Below are 15,318 nucleotides of genomic sequence, written 5' to 3'. Positions count from 1 at the left end.
GACAGAGAGGCCAGGGAAGCCCAGTGGAGCCCAAATCTTGCTCCTGTCCTCACCTGGAGCTCCTCACTGGCCTGACCATCCAGCACTGAGGACCCCTCTGGTGGTCAGAACACAGGTCCCAGATCTGTCTTTTCTTTGCTCACTGCAACCTCCGCCTCCCGGGTTCATGCGATTCTCCTGCCTCAGCCTCCGGAGTAGCTGAGACCAAAGGCACGCGCCACCACGCCTAGCTAATTTTTGCATTTTTAGTAGAGATGGGGTTTTGCCATGTTGGCCAGGCTGGTCTTGAACTCCTGACCTCAGGTGATCCACCCGCCTCGGCCTCCCAAAGTGCTGGGATTACAGGCGTGAGCCACTGCACCCGGCCCCACACCTGTCTTTACTCTCCACCACCCTGACTCCATAAGCCTCCCCTCTACCATGTTGGGAACCTGCCCTTGAGTTGGCTTTGCACACAGACACCATCTTAGGTATTCCCACAGCCCCCAGGGCTTGGTCACTCATTAGCCATGTCAGTCTCTCCATCCTAAGTTCTTGATTTGTGTAGATATGGGGACACAAGAACTAGAGAGGTGATGTTACCTGCTCAGTGTCACACAGCACATCTAAGCATCAATCCCCAAATCCCCAGAATGCCAGATGGCTCCAGCTCTTCCTCAAGGGAATGCTTTTTCTTTCTCTTCTTTCTGAAAGCTTCCCTCTGGCTTCCCTTTGGCTTTCAATGGGTTGTCCCCATGCCAGGGGCACCTGCGTGGTTGTTGTGGTTTTGTGTTTCCCTTCCCTTTGGCTTTTTTTTTTCCTTGTTTTTTTGTTTTTTTTTTTTTGACAGAGTCTCGCTCTGCTGCCCAGGCTGAAGTGCAGTGGTGCAATCTTGGCTCACTGTAACCTCTGCCTCCTGGGTTCAAGCAATTCTCCTGCCTCAGCCTCCCGAGTGGCTGGGACTACAGGCACGCGCCACCACGCCCGGCTAATTTTAGTATTTTTAGTAGAGACAGGGTTTCACTATGTTGGCCAGGCTGGTCTTGAACTCCTGACCTCAAGATCCACCTGCCTTGGCCTTCCAAAGTACTGGGATTACAGGCACGAGCCACCGTGCCCAGCCACCTTTGGCTTTCAAGCATAGACAACCCCTTTGAAGCCCCCAAGCCTCAGAGTTCTGGGGTGGAGTTTCCTTCCCGCTCTGAAAGCCATCCTCATTCTCCTTCTCACTGCCACAGACTTAGAAGCCCCTTCCTCAGGTATCTTGCCCTCTGGGTTGTGGGCCAGGCAGTGCTAATGCCTGAAATAACTGCACAGCTACTCATGCCATGGATACCCTGTCTCCCACTCCAACCCCAGGACGTGACCAAAGCCATCATGCTATAGAACACGGTCCCTTTTTGCTTCTTATGCTTCCTCCAATGCTTGGAGAAACCTCCCCTAGCCCCCATCAGAAGGAAGCTCTACATCTTGTAAACCTTCCTGTCCCCGCCAGGCCCTATGGCAGCATTGATCTCTGCCTGCCCTTGTGTTGATGGTGTGTGTGTGCATGTGCGTGTGCGTGTGTGTGTTTGTGTGTGTCTGTCCCCACTAGCTCGTGAGCTCCATGACAGCAGAGACCATGTCTTGCTCCTCTGTGTCTCCAGTGCCTGTCACAGAGCCGGAGCTCAAAACCATGTTTCTTGAATTTAATTGAACCTAAAGCTGGGTGGTTTGGGGGTCACAAACCTGGACTCCATGGCTGCCAAACCATGATAAGAGCTTCAAGACCAACAGAGGAGAAAATGAAGAAGAAGGAAGGGAACCCCTCCTTGGCCTTTTCCTTCTCAGAAGTCGGAATCCCATCACTCAGGTCTTCCCACCCTTGGCCTGGCCAGGCCAGGCCACACTTGGCTGAGAAGCTCGAGAGGAGGATGCCGGTCAGAGAGACATCAGGTCTGTGTTGGTGACTTGTCTCTTGCATGAGTTCATTTAATGACCAGTTTCATGGGAAATCCTCTCTTCTCCATCTCCACGCTCAGTATGGGTGACTGGGGCTGACCCCAACTAGAAAAAGGACAGAGGGACCCCAGTTAAGTAATAGCTGGAGACAGCGCCAGGTAGGAGTGGATGGTTTCTTAACTAGGGTGGTACGGAGAGGACTCACTCTTCCTACAGGAGAGCAAAGAACAGAGCCCCAGACCAGCCAGAGAAACACTCAGATCTTTCTAAAGTGTTTACTTGAGACTTATCTTCAGGGAGCTGAGATCACAGCAAGAATAACCAAAGTGGCCGGGCGCAGTGGCTCATGCCTGTAATCCCAGCACTTTGGGAGGCTGAGGCAGGTGGATCACCTGAGGTCACGAGTTCGAGACCAGCCTGGACAATATGGTAAAACCCAGTCTCTACTAAAAATACAAAAATGAGGCTGGGTGCAGTGGCTCACACCTGTAATCCCAGCACTTTGGGAGGCTGAGGTGGGCAGATCACCTGAGGTTGGGAGTTCGAGACCAACCTGACCAACATGGAGAAACCCCATTTCTACTAAAAATACCAAATTAGTATTACAGGCATGGTGGCGCATGCCTGTAATCCCAGCTACTTGGGAGGCTGAGGCAGGAGAATCACTTGAACCTGGGAGGCGGAGGTTACGGTGAGCCAAGATCATTCCATTTCACTCCAGCTTGGGCAACAAGAGCAAAACTCCGTCTCAAAAAAACAAAACAAACAAACAAACAAAAAACAAATTAGCTGGGCATGGTAGCACACACCTGTAGTCCCAGCTGCTCAGGAGGCTGAGGCAGGAGAATAGCTTGAACCCAGGAGGTGGAGGTTGCAGTGAGCCAAGATCGTGCCACTGCCCTCCAGCTTGGGCGACAGAGCAAGACTTTGTCTCAAAAAAAAAAAAAAAAAATCAAAGTAAGGCAACAAGAGAGGGATAAAAGACTACAAATAGGGTACAGTGCACACTGCTTGGGTGATGGGTGCACCAAAATCTCACAAATCCCCACTAAAGAACTTACTCATGTAACCAAACACCACCTGTTCCCCAATAACCTATGGAAAAAAAATTATAACAACTACTTAATGCCAGATACATGCTGAGAAAATTAAACTGAAATAATTTGTTTCACTTAAAAACAAAACAAAACAAAAAAACACAGTAAGGGCAACAAGAGAACCTTCAGCTGAGGCTGGCAGGGCGCCGAGACTGGGCACCCAGACCTCTCAGGATCACCTCTGGGGCTTTTGGAATCAGAGCCAGCTTAGTGGATGGCTGCCTGGAGGCAGGCGCATGGCTGAGGTGGCACCGCTGGGCCCAGGATGCTTCATCCGGACAGTCGAGCCTTGGGGTATGGGGGGACCAAGGCGGGAGTGCTCTCCTGGGAGGCCCTGTGTCTGGCGGGCATCGCTGCTGTCACCACCCCGACTGCTCTTCTGGCTGAGTGACTCAGGACCTGCCAGCAGGCCCAAATGTGCTGGGACAAGTCTCAGCCTCCCCTCCTTCCCCACATGCCTCCCCGCAGCCTAGTGGGGACCAAGCTTCCTCCTTCCATCTGCATCTGGAGTTTGGCTGCAAGCCGTCAGGCCCATGGGTCACTGCTGGCTGCTTTCCCAAGCCCTGCCCAGCCCTGTCCCTGGGCAGATCAAAGCCCTCCCTGGGGGCCCCAGATGGCTGGCAGCATTCTAACAGGTCATTCCCCTAGAGTGAGATCCTGGGGTGTCATGGGGCAGGCACTCATAGCTGACACCTACGAGCCTCACCGGTGTCCTAACAGTTGGGCAGCACGGATATGATTATCCCCATGTTTCAGCTGGGGAAACTGAGGCCCACAACCTCCACAGTCTCAACTCAAAAGCAGGCATCTTGATTCCTGCTCTCCTTCCTAGACCCCACACCCAGGACCATGGGCTGGAGGCGGGAGGGACCCACAGACTGATACACTTGTGGAGCTGGGGTGTTGGCAGCCATCTTGGGTCAAATAGGCTGAATCCAGTCCTCTCTCAAGCTGGGGCTTGGCCTCTTGGGACTGGACCAGCTTTGTCTACCAGACCGAGGGGAGAGGCTGCTGGGAATAAGCAGGCTCTGGGTTCCCAGGGAAGAGGAACCCTAAGGACCTCTATTAGGTTTTCCAGAATCAGAGGCTGAGGCTCACTTAGCCACCCTTGGCCTTGTATGTTCCTGTGGGGTCGGCCTTAGACTTCCCTGAAGAGTTCTTCTGCATCTTAATATCTTACAGGCTCAGGAAAGAGGAGCAGTAATAAGTCCAGTCTCGGGTTAATCCATCATATTCTAGGCCTTGTGCTTAAGTCTTGACCTGCAGAATGTCAAGTCTCCTGCACCCAAGCCTGTGAGCCAGTGCCATGTCATCTCCATTCCTCCTGGAAGATGAGGAGATTGGGCTGAGAGCAGCTGGAACCCTGTCCAAGGTGAGTGGCAGCACTGGGGTTTGAGCCTAGGTCTGCTGGCTCCTTAATATTGGGATCCAGACTTGACTTAAGGGCCCTGGCTTTGAAAGGGAAATTGAACCTGCCATGAAGATCCCTCCAGGTGCCCAGGCTGCAGCTCCCCTCCTCTCCCACCCTGTGGCCCCAAGTCTTTCCTCCTCCCTTCCCTCCCTCCATAGCTCAGAACCACTCCAGAGTAACCTGTGCTGGCAGGGGTTAAGTCACCTCCTGCTGGCCTGTGCTGTCTGCCTGCTTTGCTGTTTGCCAGGGCTGCACCTGTTGTAGCCCTACAGTTTTGATGAGGTTGGCAGGGAGTGCCAGCTCTGCACGGGCATGGTAAACATGCCACCTGCCTGCTCAGTGCTGCTGGAGCAGTAACGTGCCAACTTCAACATGAATTCTTAGCTACTCCCTCTGTAGTGGACCCAGGCTGAGGGGAGCATACCAGCCTGGCTGAGACCTCCGGACCCTCAGGTGAGGGGCTGGGACCTGCATGACAGATGCTCTGGGAAGGACCTGCCTGTTGGCCCTGCATTCTGAAGAACGGTCCCCAGCAAAGGAGGCCAGGTTGAAGTGGGGGCAATGCACTCCCTTTTTTCCTTCTTTTTTTTTGTTTTTTTATTTGAGACAGAGTTTCACTCTTGTCGCCCAGGCTGGAGTGCAATGGCACACTCTTGGCTCACTGCAACCTCCGCCTCCCAGGTTCAAGTGATTCTCCTGCCTCAGCATCCCAAGTAGCTGGGATTATAGGCATGTGCCACCACGCCCGGCTAATTTTGTATTTTAAGTAGAGATGGGGTTTCACCATGTTGGTCAGGCTGGTCTCGAACTTCTGACCTCCGGTGATCCACCCACCTTGGCCTCCCAAAGTGTTGGGATTACAGGCGTAAGCCATCATGCCGGGCCGCACCCCCTTTTTTCTAAAGGGCGAGAAGGCTCAAACACAAACAAGGAAGCATCAGTGACCATCAGAGTCCCAGACAGGCAGGGCTTTATTAGACACGTTGTCATGATAAGGCAAACACAGGCTGGTGTTCTGTCCTTTTTGCAGATGACCCTGTGTAGCTGGGGCTGGTCTTCCCCCACCTCCTCTGTTCGCTGTCAGTCTCAGGATCAGCTGAGCATGGCCGCCACCCTCCCTCCCTTTTTCCTCCTCCCTTTCAGTGTGGGCTGTTGTTGGCAGTGACATTTAATTCAGGGAAGGCACCTGACCTTGGGGAGGAATGTGGGAAATGTCTGCAGCCTGGGGCAGCCACCCCCCACCTGGGGCCCAGGAATGTGGGCTCTAGGACACCTGTGGCCCCCAAGGGAGGTGAGTGTAGGGTCCAGGAATGACACTGTTGGAAGGCCCCGGCAAGGTCACCTAGTGAAACTCTTACATTGTGCAGAGGGTGAGGATGAGCCACCAATGCCACCCCCCGTGGCACCAGCACAGCCTTCTCTCCAATCTGGTGACAGCACTGTCTCTGACTCTTGTTGTCTCCTCAAGCCTGAGGCCACAAGTACAGCGGCAACTTCTGATTTGTCAGACCCACAGAACTGCAGAATGTCCAAGCCCTTCGAAGTGAGCTGCTGCACATCCTCTACCGCTGATGTGGAGACTGAGGTGCAGAGAGATGTGAGTTGGCTGCCATCTACTCACTATGGGCCAGGACCCAGGTCTCTGGGGTGGGTGCATTTCCCACCATCCCTCCTGTTCCAGATGCTGGAAGTCAGCATCTTTTCATCCCAGCAGGGAGATTCAGGTGGCCTCTCCTAAACCCCCACAGGGTTACTGCTGGGAGTGCAGTGCCATCTAGGGTGCCCATCTGTGTGAACTGCCGGGAGTGGGTGCTGCAGCCACAGAGGGCCTGGTCACTACACTCAAGCCCATGCTCCAGCACCTGGAGAGCAGGTGCTCTGTGCTCTGGCTGACGGCTCTGAGAAAACCAAGCTAACTCCAGCAGCTGCCTTCTTTGGGGCTGCACCGGGAGAAAGTGTTAGCGTAAGGACTCTGCTGCCCTCTCGTGGCCTCACTTGGGTATGGCTGCTGCCATTCAGGCCGCTGGTGGCTCACCTGCTCCGAGCTATGGAAATCTCTCTCCTAATTGCCTTTGCCTGGACTCTAAGAGGCCTGGATGGGGTGGATATCATCCCTTCTATCATACCGCTTAGGCCATGCCTTGTTCCTTGTCGGATTCTGGAGGAAGAGGGCCTCAGGTCAACAGGAGAGGCCTAGCCTGTGTTACCCAGAATGCTTGGGTGTGGGGAGAGACGTGGTGGTTCCCACAGACACAACCTAATCAACCAACACCAGACAGGATGGTTTGAAAATTTAGAGGATATTTATTTCTCAGGAAGGTGCACAACAGCTGGCAGGCACTGCTTTCCCTGCTCTAGGGGATTCCTCTCTCCTTTTCCAAGAAATCCCCTCTCTTCTTAGAAGTGCCCATGGGAGGCTGGGATGTGAAAAGAAACCATACACAACACTCCAGAGCCTTAAAAAAATAAAGCAACAACCTCCTCCACACGAATACACTTACAAAATAAATAGACGGATAAAAGAGAGGCCACGTGCCTCCCATCCCGGCTGTAGGGCTGCTTGGGGATAGTGGGGCTGGGTGGCTCGGTCCCACTTCTCCCAGCCAGGATGATCCAAAGGCTAAATGGAATGGAAGGGCCCTGGCTTCAGAGAGAGGATGGGGCAGGACCTCTCCTGGTACTCAGCAGGGAAGACACTGGGGGCACGGGTAGGGAACAAAGGAACAAATAAATAAATAAATAGAACCCAACAGCACTCTCAGAGGCCTAAGGGCTTAGGGTGAGGCTCAGGGGGGCCCTGGGGCCTGTTTCCCTGAAAATAACAGATCCAGTACAGGCAGAAAGAACAGAAGGGAAAACACAGGCCACACCCACCTGGCCTGCAGAGCCCAGCCCCAGAAGGAGGCCTCAAATCAGCTCTACAGGGAGGAGGGGTGGGGTGGGGATGCTGAGCTCCACACTAGCTGCTCTGAGCCTGCTCTCTGGCCCTGGAGGTGCCCGAAGGCTAGGGACCCTCCCATCCCTGTGTTCTCTGCGGCCAGCAGAGCCTCCTCCCTCACTCTCCAGCCTTCATCCTCACCATCTCCACCAGAGAAAACCGTAGCTATCTCCGAGGTGGGCTCTTTCCTAGGAAAGTTGAGGCAGAGCCCTCTCCTCCTATTCTTAATGGTCTTCCTGACTTGGGGCATCCTGAGGGTCAGCTGGGAGAAGTCCTTGTGTAACTATAAATAATCAAAACAATCCAACCCCATGTCCACCTCTGCTCCACTTGGCCACAGGTGCCCGCACTATCTCCAGGTAGGGCTGCATTCTAAGCTCCCTTCAGGCCAACAGGGAGAAGGTGTCAGACAGAAGCAAGTACAGAGAAGGGGGCAGGAGCTGCTGGAATGGACAGTTTGGGCAGGAGGCCAAACTGGACACACAAAGAAGTCCAAGGGTCCCTCCTGGAGAAGTGTGGCCAGCTGGGGGCCAGAGAGCACAGGGTTGGTGTGGCTGGCCACTCAGCTGGGCAGCAACACGTGCTCCAGGAGGTAGGTGAGGGAGTCCCAGTGCTTCCAGAGGAGGAACAGGACGAGGACCAGGAGGGTGGTGCTGGTGATGCGCAGGCGTGTCTTCATGAGGGGCGTGATGAAGTTGGCGATGGTGGACACGAACACCAGCAGCACGGCCATGAGCGCCAGGATCACGTTGATGAACTTGCCCAGCAGCGCCCGCGCGTTGGCATTCTCCACGCCCTCCAGCTGTACCACCTGCTGCTGTTGCTGCTGCAGCTCCAGCTTGGTGACCCGGGTCAGGCAGGACTCCACGGCCTCCTGCAGGGGCAGAGGGGCTGGCATGTGTGCGCTCAGGATGGGCAGGACCCCTAGGCTGAAAACCTACCTACCCCACTGAGAAGGTGCCTATAACGAAGTCTCCTCTCCAAAGGCCAGGAGGAGTGGAGGTTGACCAGCTGCAACTGGGGTCAGAGACCTTTAAGGATGACTCTTTGGGGAGGATGCTAGGAAATGAGAGTCTTGATTACTAGGGAAGGAAAAGAGCTGGCCCAATCCCAGCTGGCTCCCTCTTGAGGCAGGCTGGAGCCTGGAAACTCCAAATACTCATTTGCGAAGCTGCCATCAAAGAGGTGGGGGGCATGGTGGCCTCTGCCCTGTGGGCTTGCCTCTGCACAGTGCACGCTGTCAGCCTCAGGCCTGTCTTGCTCACTCCACTCCGCTCCCGCTACGCTGCCCTCTTCATCCATGTGCCTATCGGCCCCGGCCAACAGGCCAGCCTGTGTCTATCATGCCCCACGTGACAAGAACCCTAACCCTCTGGCTGCTGCCAGCTCTACCAGCACATCTGGGGCCTCCCAAGGTTGCCCTGGCCATACCTGGATGTCCCGTGCCCTCTCATAGGACTGGTAGGCCACCTTCTCCTCCATGCTGGCCAGCTCCTGCTTCAGGTTCGTCATCTCGTTCTGATGAAGCTCAGTCAGGTCGTTGAGCTGCTCCTCCAGCCGCTCGTACCTGGCGGAGGGAGAGAGAGTGACACCAGTCCTGGCTCCCCGAGCTTCCACTCTCTCCCACAGTTGATTCATTCATTCTCTCAATAAACAATGACTCAGCCCATCCCCCGTGTCCAGCTCTGCTCTGTTCTAATTTTAACAGCAACAACAATAGAAGCTACTATTTACACAGCACTTCTTAGGTGTAGGCACTGTGCTAAGCATTTTACCTACATGACCTCATAGGATCCTCCCCACAATCCCATGAGATAGGTGCCAGTGTCATCTCCATTTTACAGAGGAGAAGACTGAGGCGTGGAGGCTGAGGAGCCTGCCTAGGATCACGCAGCTCATGAATGGAGGAGTTAAGGATTGGCTGACTTCAACCTGGGCTCTTAAGCCCTAGGCTCAGATGCTCTCTGGGTACCAGGGACACATGGGTGTAGAGGACACAATCCCGGCTCTGAAGGCACAAAATAGCGTAAGATGACTGTTATGTGAGGAGTGGTTAGCTTTTAGGTGGGGCTCCCCTTCAATTTTCCAAGCCTTCTTTATATATATGGAGAAGAAAAAGAGAAAGTGCTAGCTAAGGAAAAGATCCCCCCACAAGCCCAGGGAGCGAGCGGCAAGTGCTGCAGAGGCACAGAGCCAAGGGCAGAAAAGGGCAGCACAGGACCGGAGGGAGACACAGAAGGAGAGGCCGAGAGATGTCAGCTCTGTTCCAGGCTGGCCCCAGGAGCTCCGACTGGAGGTTCATGTTTTGGAAGCTATACATCCATTCACATGCTTCGACTTTACAGGTCTGGACTCATTGTATCTTTATGACCCTATGAAGAAGGAATTAATGTCATCCCTGAATTGAGGTCAGGAGATCGAGACCAGCCTGGCCAACATGGTGAAACGCTGTCGCTACTAAAAATACAAAAAATTAGCGGGGTGTAGTGGTGCGTGCCTGTAATCCCAGCTACTCAGGAGGCCGAGGCAGGAGAATCGCTTGAACCCAGGAGGCAGAGGTTACAGTGAGCTGAGATCGTGCCACTGCACTCCAGCCTGGGCGACAGAGAGACACTCCGCCTCCAAAAAATACAGAAGGAAAAAAGAAAGAAGGCTCCTTAGGGCCTCGTGCTGGCTCCTTCCAGCAGCCAGGAGGCTGAGGATGCTCCTCTGACTGCCTCCACACCCTGGGTCTGAAACCCAGTGCTCCTTGCCTCATCCCACGTCCGGCTGGGCTGCAGGAGGGGGTGGGCAGGCACCTACCTGTAGCGCTCCTCCTGCAGGCACTGGGTCATGTAGGTGTAGTCCCTCTGCAGCTGAGTCTTCAGGTCTTCCATGGAGTCCTCCAGGTGAGACTGTCCCTCCTTGATCTCCCGTAGCTCTTCCAGCAGAGCATCCAGGTTTCCAGGAGCACCATACAGTGCATTGGACTTAGGGCTCCCCAGCGCCCCACCAGGCCCAGCCCCAGAGTTGCTGCCTGCCCCGGCTGAGCTGGCGCTGGCGCTGGAGCACTCATCATCGCTGCCATACTTGGGGCTGGAGACGAGTGTGGCACTGCCGCTCAGTGCCCGGGCTGCCTCCTCAGGGGGCCCATCTTCCAGGGGGTCCTTCAGGTGGGCGATGTTGTCAGCACTGCCAAACTTGTTGCGGATGAGGCTGGCAAACTCCCGGGGCTTGGACACCACGGCGGTGTGGGTGGCCTGTGAGAGGCCAGAGAGGCTGCCCTTGACGCCCTCCACCACGCCGCCCCCAAAGCCGCTGATGCCTGCGCGCACGTTGGCGCCCACGTCCTTCAGCCCCTGCTGCATGTCCCGCAGCACGTCCTTGGGCTGCCGCGAGGGCCCGTTCTGCTCAATCTCCTTCAGGCGCCGGCGGTAGTGCTCCAGCTTCTTGTGCAGCTGGGCGATGGTCTGGGCTGACTTCTGGTTCTTCTTCTCGAACACTTGCTTGATGCGTGACACCTGCTGCTTGTCCGCGTTGTTGGCCAGTTTCAGATACTCTGCCACATTGTCGTCGCGAGCCTCCTGCTCAATCTTGATCTGCTCGGTGATCTTCAGGATCTTCTGGTGCAGGTGGTCAATGGCGGCCTTGGTCCGCTGGGGGTCCGGTGCCCCATCGGGCACGTCCAGGCTGATGGGGCCGTCGGTGTCACCATGGCCGGCGGGGAGGCTCAGGGCCACCAGGTCTCCCTTATCGACCTGGGGAAAGAGGCAGGCAGAGGAAGCATGGGTAAACCCTGGGACCATAGGAGTGCCCCTGGATGCCTCTGGACTTGGTTTTTCTATCTAGAAAATGGATGCAGGAGTCCAAAAGAAGACAACCACCACAAGAGCAGTATCCCTGACAGCCACTTACACAGGGCTTTCACATCTGCTCTCTACCCCGTCCCCACAGCATCCCCAAAATGCAGTCTAGGCAGAGCTGCTCCTCTTTTGGCCCAGAAAGGTCAAACAAGTTGTTCAGGGACACACGGCCAGGAAGGGACAGAACCTCCAGCCCAGAACTCTTTTATTTATTTGTTTGTTTATCTATTTGAGACACAGTCTCGCTCTGTTGCCCAGGCTGGACTGCAGTAGCGTAATCTCAGCTCACTGCACCTTCCACCTCCCTGGTTCAAGGGATTCTCCTGCCTCTGCCTCCCGAGAAGCCAGTATTACAGGCACCCACCACCATGCCTGGCTAATTTTTGTATTTTCAGTAGAGATGGGGTTTCACCGTGTTGGCCAGGCTGGTCTCGAACTCCTGACCTCAAGTGATCTGCCTGCCTTGGCCTCCCAAAGTGCTGGGATTACAGGTGTGAGCCACTACGCCTGGCCCCAGCCCAGAGCTCTTAAAGCTCCAGCACATGGACCAGGCAGGTCTGAGGCCTCACTGGAGTCATGGGGTTGGATTTCTGAGGAATGAGACAAATTTTCTCTCTGGACTCAACCACTTCATAAGGCTCCTGCCTTGAGCAGGCCTCTCCCTCAGGGCTGACCGCCTACACTTTGTGCCCTGCCTGCCTGCCCTCGCCACCCCATGTTCACTAACAACGCAGCTCAGCGGGCCACCCTGCCTCTGCTGACACCTCTCCCAGGCCCTCCATTACCTTACGGCTCTCCAGAGTCATTGGTAACCTTTTCCGCTTCATAATGGTGGAAGCCCCCAGTCCTTCCTAGTATCCGAGAATTGGGAGAGGAGCATGCCCCACCCCCACCCTGCTGGCCAGGTCCCCGAGGACTAAAGCCCCAGAAGTAACTCAAAGGCCAAGGGAAGCAGGGACCAGTTTGGGGGCCTGAGGCTACTAGCCGCCCAGCTTTGCAGAGGGTGAATGCGTAGGAAGGAAATGACAGCCCCCTTCACTCCCCACCAGGCGGGCAGGCTTCCCGAGTGCATCAGGGTGGCACCAAAGTCGGAGAGACAAGGAAAGGAGAAGAGAGACTAAGAAAGGATGATGGGGAGGGAGAGAAAGGAGGAAAAGGTCACAGGAGATAGGAAAGATGGGAAATGTAAGGTGGGCTGAAAGCGGGGAGGCCTGAGACCTGCTCCCCTGGTGCCTGGTTCCTCTCAGCCTGTTGGAGGATCTTTCTGTCCACAGCTGAGTCCCCAGTGTCTTATCGCCATACAACAACGGAAGCAGCAGGAAATGGCTCAACCCCATGTATTTTTACACACAGCACACCCCAAGCAAGGCTGGGTCAGATCATTTGCCCTTAGTATGTATGGGAGGGGGCAGGGGTGTGGTCAGATATATGTGGGGGAAGGGGTTAAACACAAAGATAGTGGCCCAGTCACATGCACCAGAACTGGAAACAGTCCCTGCCAATTACAGGCATAAGTCACTTGGCTTGATTCTGCCAAGGTGCAAAGTTATTGGAAAACACGATTGAAAATAATAGCCCTGCCAAACTCAGGAGCCAGGGGAGGGCGGCTCCTCTGTGGGCTTCCACTGGGGCTTTTCCAGGTTACACTTCCCCCTGGGGATGCTGTGGACAACCACAACCCCATCCCTAATCACTCCTGAAGTCAGGACTTCCCTCTTATGTTTGCTTTGGGTCTCCCCTCATCCCCCCTTGACCTCCCAGCAGGTGCTCATACCTTCAGGACTCTGCTTCTCAGAATTTCTGACCTTTCATACCCACAGTCTCCCTTAAGTGATCTGCTCCAAGGTCTTAACTGTCCCAGTAGCCTGACTTAAAACCCTAACCTGCAATTAGGCTGCTTCTTCCTGCCTTGTTCCCTGCAGTGACAGCAAAAAGCCCATCTCTCCATTTTCCTGACCTTCAGTGTCCTCGCCGACAAAAAGCGGGTAATCACAGCTACTCTCAGGTCTTTTGTGAGAGCTATACAAGATGACGTCTGGCAAGCTGGCATAGTGCGAAGCATACAGAAGGTGCTCATTAAACGCTGAATCTGAATCTAGGCAGCGTAATCCCTTTTTTCCCCTGGGAGAAAAAATGCCTGCAATCAAGCTGGCCTAAATTTATTTCAGAAATTATACCAACAAATTTACTCTGTATTGCTAGAACTACACAAAATTAACGGTTTTTTTTTTTTTATTTGTTTTTTGTTTTTTTTTGGAGACGGGGTCTCTGTCGCCCAGGCTGGAATGCAGTGGGGCCATCTCAGCTCACTGCAACCTATGCCTCCTGGGTTCAAGTGATTCTCCTGCCTCAGCTTCCTGAGTAGCTGGGATTACAGGCATGAGCCGCCACGCCCGGCTAATTTTTTTGTATTTTTAGTAGAAATGGAGTTTCGCCATGTTGGCCAGACTGCTCTTCAACTCCTCATCTCAGGGGATCCACCCGCCTCAGCCTCCCAAAGTGCTGGGATTACAAGCATGAGTCACCGCGCCCGGCCCAAAATTATGTTTTATAGGCAACACATGGCCTTTGATGTTACAGAACTTTTTTTTTTTTTTTTTTTTTGAGACAGAGTCTCGCTCTGTCGCCCAGGCTGCAGTGCAGTGGCGCAATCTTGGCTCACTGCAAGCTCCGCCTCCGGGGTTCACGCCATTCTCCTGCCTCGGCCTCCCGAGTAGCTGGGACTACAGGCGCCTGCCACCATGCCCGGCTAATTTTTTGTATTTTTAGTAGAGATGGGGTTTCACCGTGTTAGCCAGGATGGTCGCGATCTCCTGACCTCATGATCCGCCCGCCTCAGCCTCCCAAAGTGCTGGGATTACAGGCTTGAGCCACCACGCCCAGCCCAGAACCTGTCTCTCTTATAAAGCTGCTGCCCTTTCCACAGATGCCCAGCTCTCTTTCACTGTCTTCTTGGGAGAAAGAATATCTAGAAAATGGGTTCTGGGGCCAGGTGCAGTGCCTCATGCCTGTAATCCCAGCACTTTGGGAGGCTGAGGCGGGTGGATCATGAGGTCAGGGGTTCGAGACCAGCCTAACCAACATGGTGAAACCCTGTCTCTACTAAAAATACAAAAATTAGCTGGGCGTGGTGGCGGACGCCTGTAATCCCAGCTACTGAGGAGGCTGAGGCAGGAGAATTTCTTGAACTGGGAGGCAGAGGTTGCAGTGAGCCGAGATCACGCCACTGCACACCAGCCTGGGCGACAGAGCGAGACTCCGTCTCAAAAAAAAAAAAAAAAGAAAAGAAAATGGGTTCTGAGTCTGGCTGCATCACTGCCATTTGCTCATCTTTGTAACAGGGACAGAGTCTGTCCCAACTACTTAGGGGGAGAGTGGGAGGAGCTAATAAGAAATGGATGTGAAATGCTGTGAAAAGCAAAAGTGTTTTAGGACTATACAGGAGTGTAAAATAGCAAAGTCTCCACCTGCCGTGGCTCCTTCCTAGCAGCTTGGCTCTCTCCTCCCTTGATTTGGCATCTTTCTGGCTTACAAATGGAAAAGCGGAGTTGAAGCTGGCTGTGAAATCCCCATTAATGAGAGGAGAAGAAACACTCCTGGGAAAAACAGCTGGGGCCTGATGGTGGGTGCAGAGGCCTGGGCTGAAGCCCTGGCCCCCTCGTCCACCCCTCTTCTCTACCCTAGGACCCAGACTTGAGCCTAACAGTCCTGCAGCAGGACACCAGCTCCTTCCGTCCCTCCACAGAGGCCTGGACACCTCCTTGGTGACATGAAGGTCTGCAATGCCTGGATTGAGCGGGTCAGTCTCCAGTCACAGAACATATCCCCATTTTATTCTCTTCCCTGTGGAGGACTCAGTTCCACTGGCTTCCAGAAAGGTGGCATATTTTCCCTATGGCCTCTGGGCTCTTCTCTTTTTCTCAAATTCTAAATGTTTTGGACAAAGGATAAGGATAACAATTATAGTTAGCCTTCTGTATCTGAGAATTCCACATCCATGGATTCAACCAACCATGGATTAAAATAATAATAATACAAATTTTAAAATACAGGGGCCAGGCGCAGTGGCTCACACCTGTAATCCCAGCACTTTGGGAGGCCAAGGCGGGC

General features: G+C 54.2%; 1 protein-coding gene across 9 annotated transcripts in view, besides 8 other annotated features; it reads right to left on the bottom strand.

Annotated features, from left to right (window-relative positions):
* Positions 3,561-4,220: an enhancer, noted in NCBI's record as "H3K27ac-H3K4me1 hESC enhancer chr1:205244961-205245620 (GRCh37/hg19 assembly coordinates)". NCBI's record gives its function as "activates a minimal SCP1, AML or CMV promoter by ChIP-STARR-seq in naive H9 embryonic stem cells {active_cell/tissue: H9 hESC(naive)}" and the evidence as "EXISTENCE:reporter gene assay evidence [ECO:0000049][PMID:30033119]".
* Positions 4,829-5,411: an enhancer, noted in NCBI's record as "H3K27ac-H3K4me1 hESC enhancer chr1:205243770-205244352 (GRCh37/hg19 assembly coordinates)". NCBI's record gives its function as "activates a minimal SCP1, AML or CMV promoter by ChIP-STARR-seq in primed H9 embryonic stem cells {active_cell/tissue: H9 hESC(primed)}" and the evidence as "EXISTENCE:reporter gene assay evidence [ECO:0000049][PMID:30033119]".
* Positions 5,412-5,993: an enhancer, noted in NCBI's record as "H3K27ac-H3K4me1 hESC enhancer chr1:205243188-205243769 (GRCh37/hg19 assembly coordinates)". NCBI's record gives its function as "activates a minimal SCP1, AML or CMV promoter by ChIP-STARR-seq in primed H9 embryonic stem cells {active_cell/tissue: H9 hESC(primed)}" and the evidence as "EXISTENCE:reporter gene assay evidence [ECO:0000049][PMID:30033119]".
* Positions 6,238-6,532: a silencer, noted in NCBI's record as "tiled region #11318; K562 Repressive DNase unmatched - State 12:CtcfO". NCBI's record gives its function as "represses a minimal TATA promoter and a strong SV40 promoter by Sharpr-MPRA in K562 cells {active_cell/tissue: K562}" and the evidence as "EXISTENCE:reporter gene assay evidence [ECO:0000049][PMID:27701403]".
* TMCC2 (transmembrane and coiled-coil domain family 2) overlaps positions 6,710-15,318 on the bottom strand; it is a 45,398-nt gene continuing 36,789 nt past the window's right edge. For 8 of the 9 annotated variants that reach the window (XM_047436073.1, NM_014858.4, NM_001242925.2 and 5 more), the window contains 3 exons: positions 10,169-11,103; positions 8,798-8,933; positions 6,710-8,240 (listed from right to left, as the gene is read on the bottom strand). In XM_047436073.1, coding sequence (XP_047292029.1) covers positions 7,929-8,240; positions 8,798-8,933; positions 10,169-11,103 — 1,383 coding nt within the window. In that variant the 3' untranslated portion in view covers positions 6,710-7,928. Of the gene's footprint in view, positions 8,258-8,797; positions 8,934-10,168; positions 11,104-15,318 lie in introns of all 9 variants that reach the window. The other variant, XM_005245686.4, reaches the window with a different exon arrangement.
* Positions 8,196-8,340: an enhancer, noted in NCBI's record as "145 bp 1:205240913 sequence used in MPRA reporter constructs". NCBI's record gives its function as "activates a minimal TATA-containing promoter with rs9659978 allelic activity by MPRAs in C283T melanocytes {active_cell/tissue: C283T}" and the evidence as "EXISTENCE:reporter gene assay evidence [ECO:0000049][PMID:36423637]".
* Position 8,268: a transcriptional cis regulatory region, noted in NCBI's record as "rs9659978 or 1:205240913 MPRA-significant variant associated with a GWAS melanoma risk locus at 1q32.1". NCBI's record gives its function as "allelic transcriptional activity by MPRAs in C283T melanocytes {active_cell/tissue: C283T}" and the evidence as "EXISTENCE:reporter gene assay evidence [ECO:0000049][PMID:36423637]".
* Positions 10,044-10,564: an enhancer, noted in NCBI's record as "H3K27ac-H3K4me1 hESC enhancer chr1:205238617-205239137 (GRCh37/hg19 assembly coordinates)". NCBI's record gives its function as "activates a minimal SCP1, AML or CMV promoter by ChIP-STARR-seq in primed H9 embryonic stem cells {active_cell/tissue: H9 hESC(primed)}" and the evidence as "EXISTENCE:reporter gene assay evidence [ECO:0000049][PMID:30033119]".
* Positions 11,528-12,028: an enhancer, noted in NCBI's record as "H3K4me1 hESC enhancer chr1:205237153-205237653 (GRCh37/hg19 assembly coordinates)". NCBI's record gives its function as "activates a minimal SCP1, AML or CMV promoter by ChIP-STARR-seq in primed H9 embryonic stem cells {active_cell/tissue: H9 hESC(primed)}" and the evidence as "EXISTENCE:reporter gene assay evidence [ECO:0000049][PMID:30033119]".

Source organism: Homo sapiens, chromosome 1 (genome assembly GCF_000001405.40).
Source record: "Homo sapiens chromosome 1, GRCh38.p14 Primary Assembly".
Classification (NCBI taxonomy): domain Eukaryota; kingdom Metazoa; phylum Chordata; class Mammalia; order Primates; family Hominidae; genus Homo; species Homo sapiens.
The sequence above is the reverse complement of the archived record's forward strand: the minus strand, read 5'-3'. Positions and strand labels throughout refer to the sequence as shown.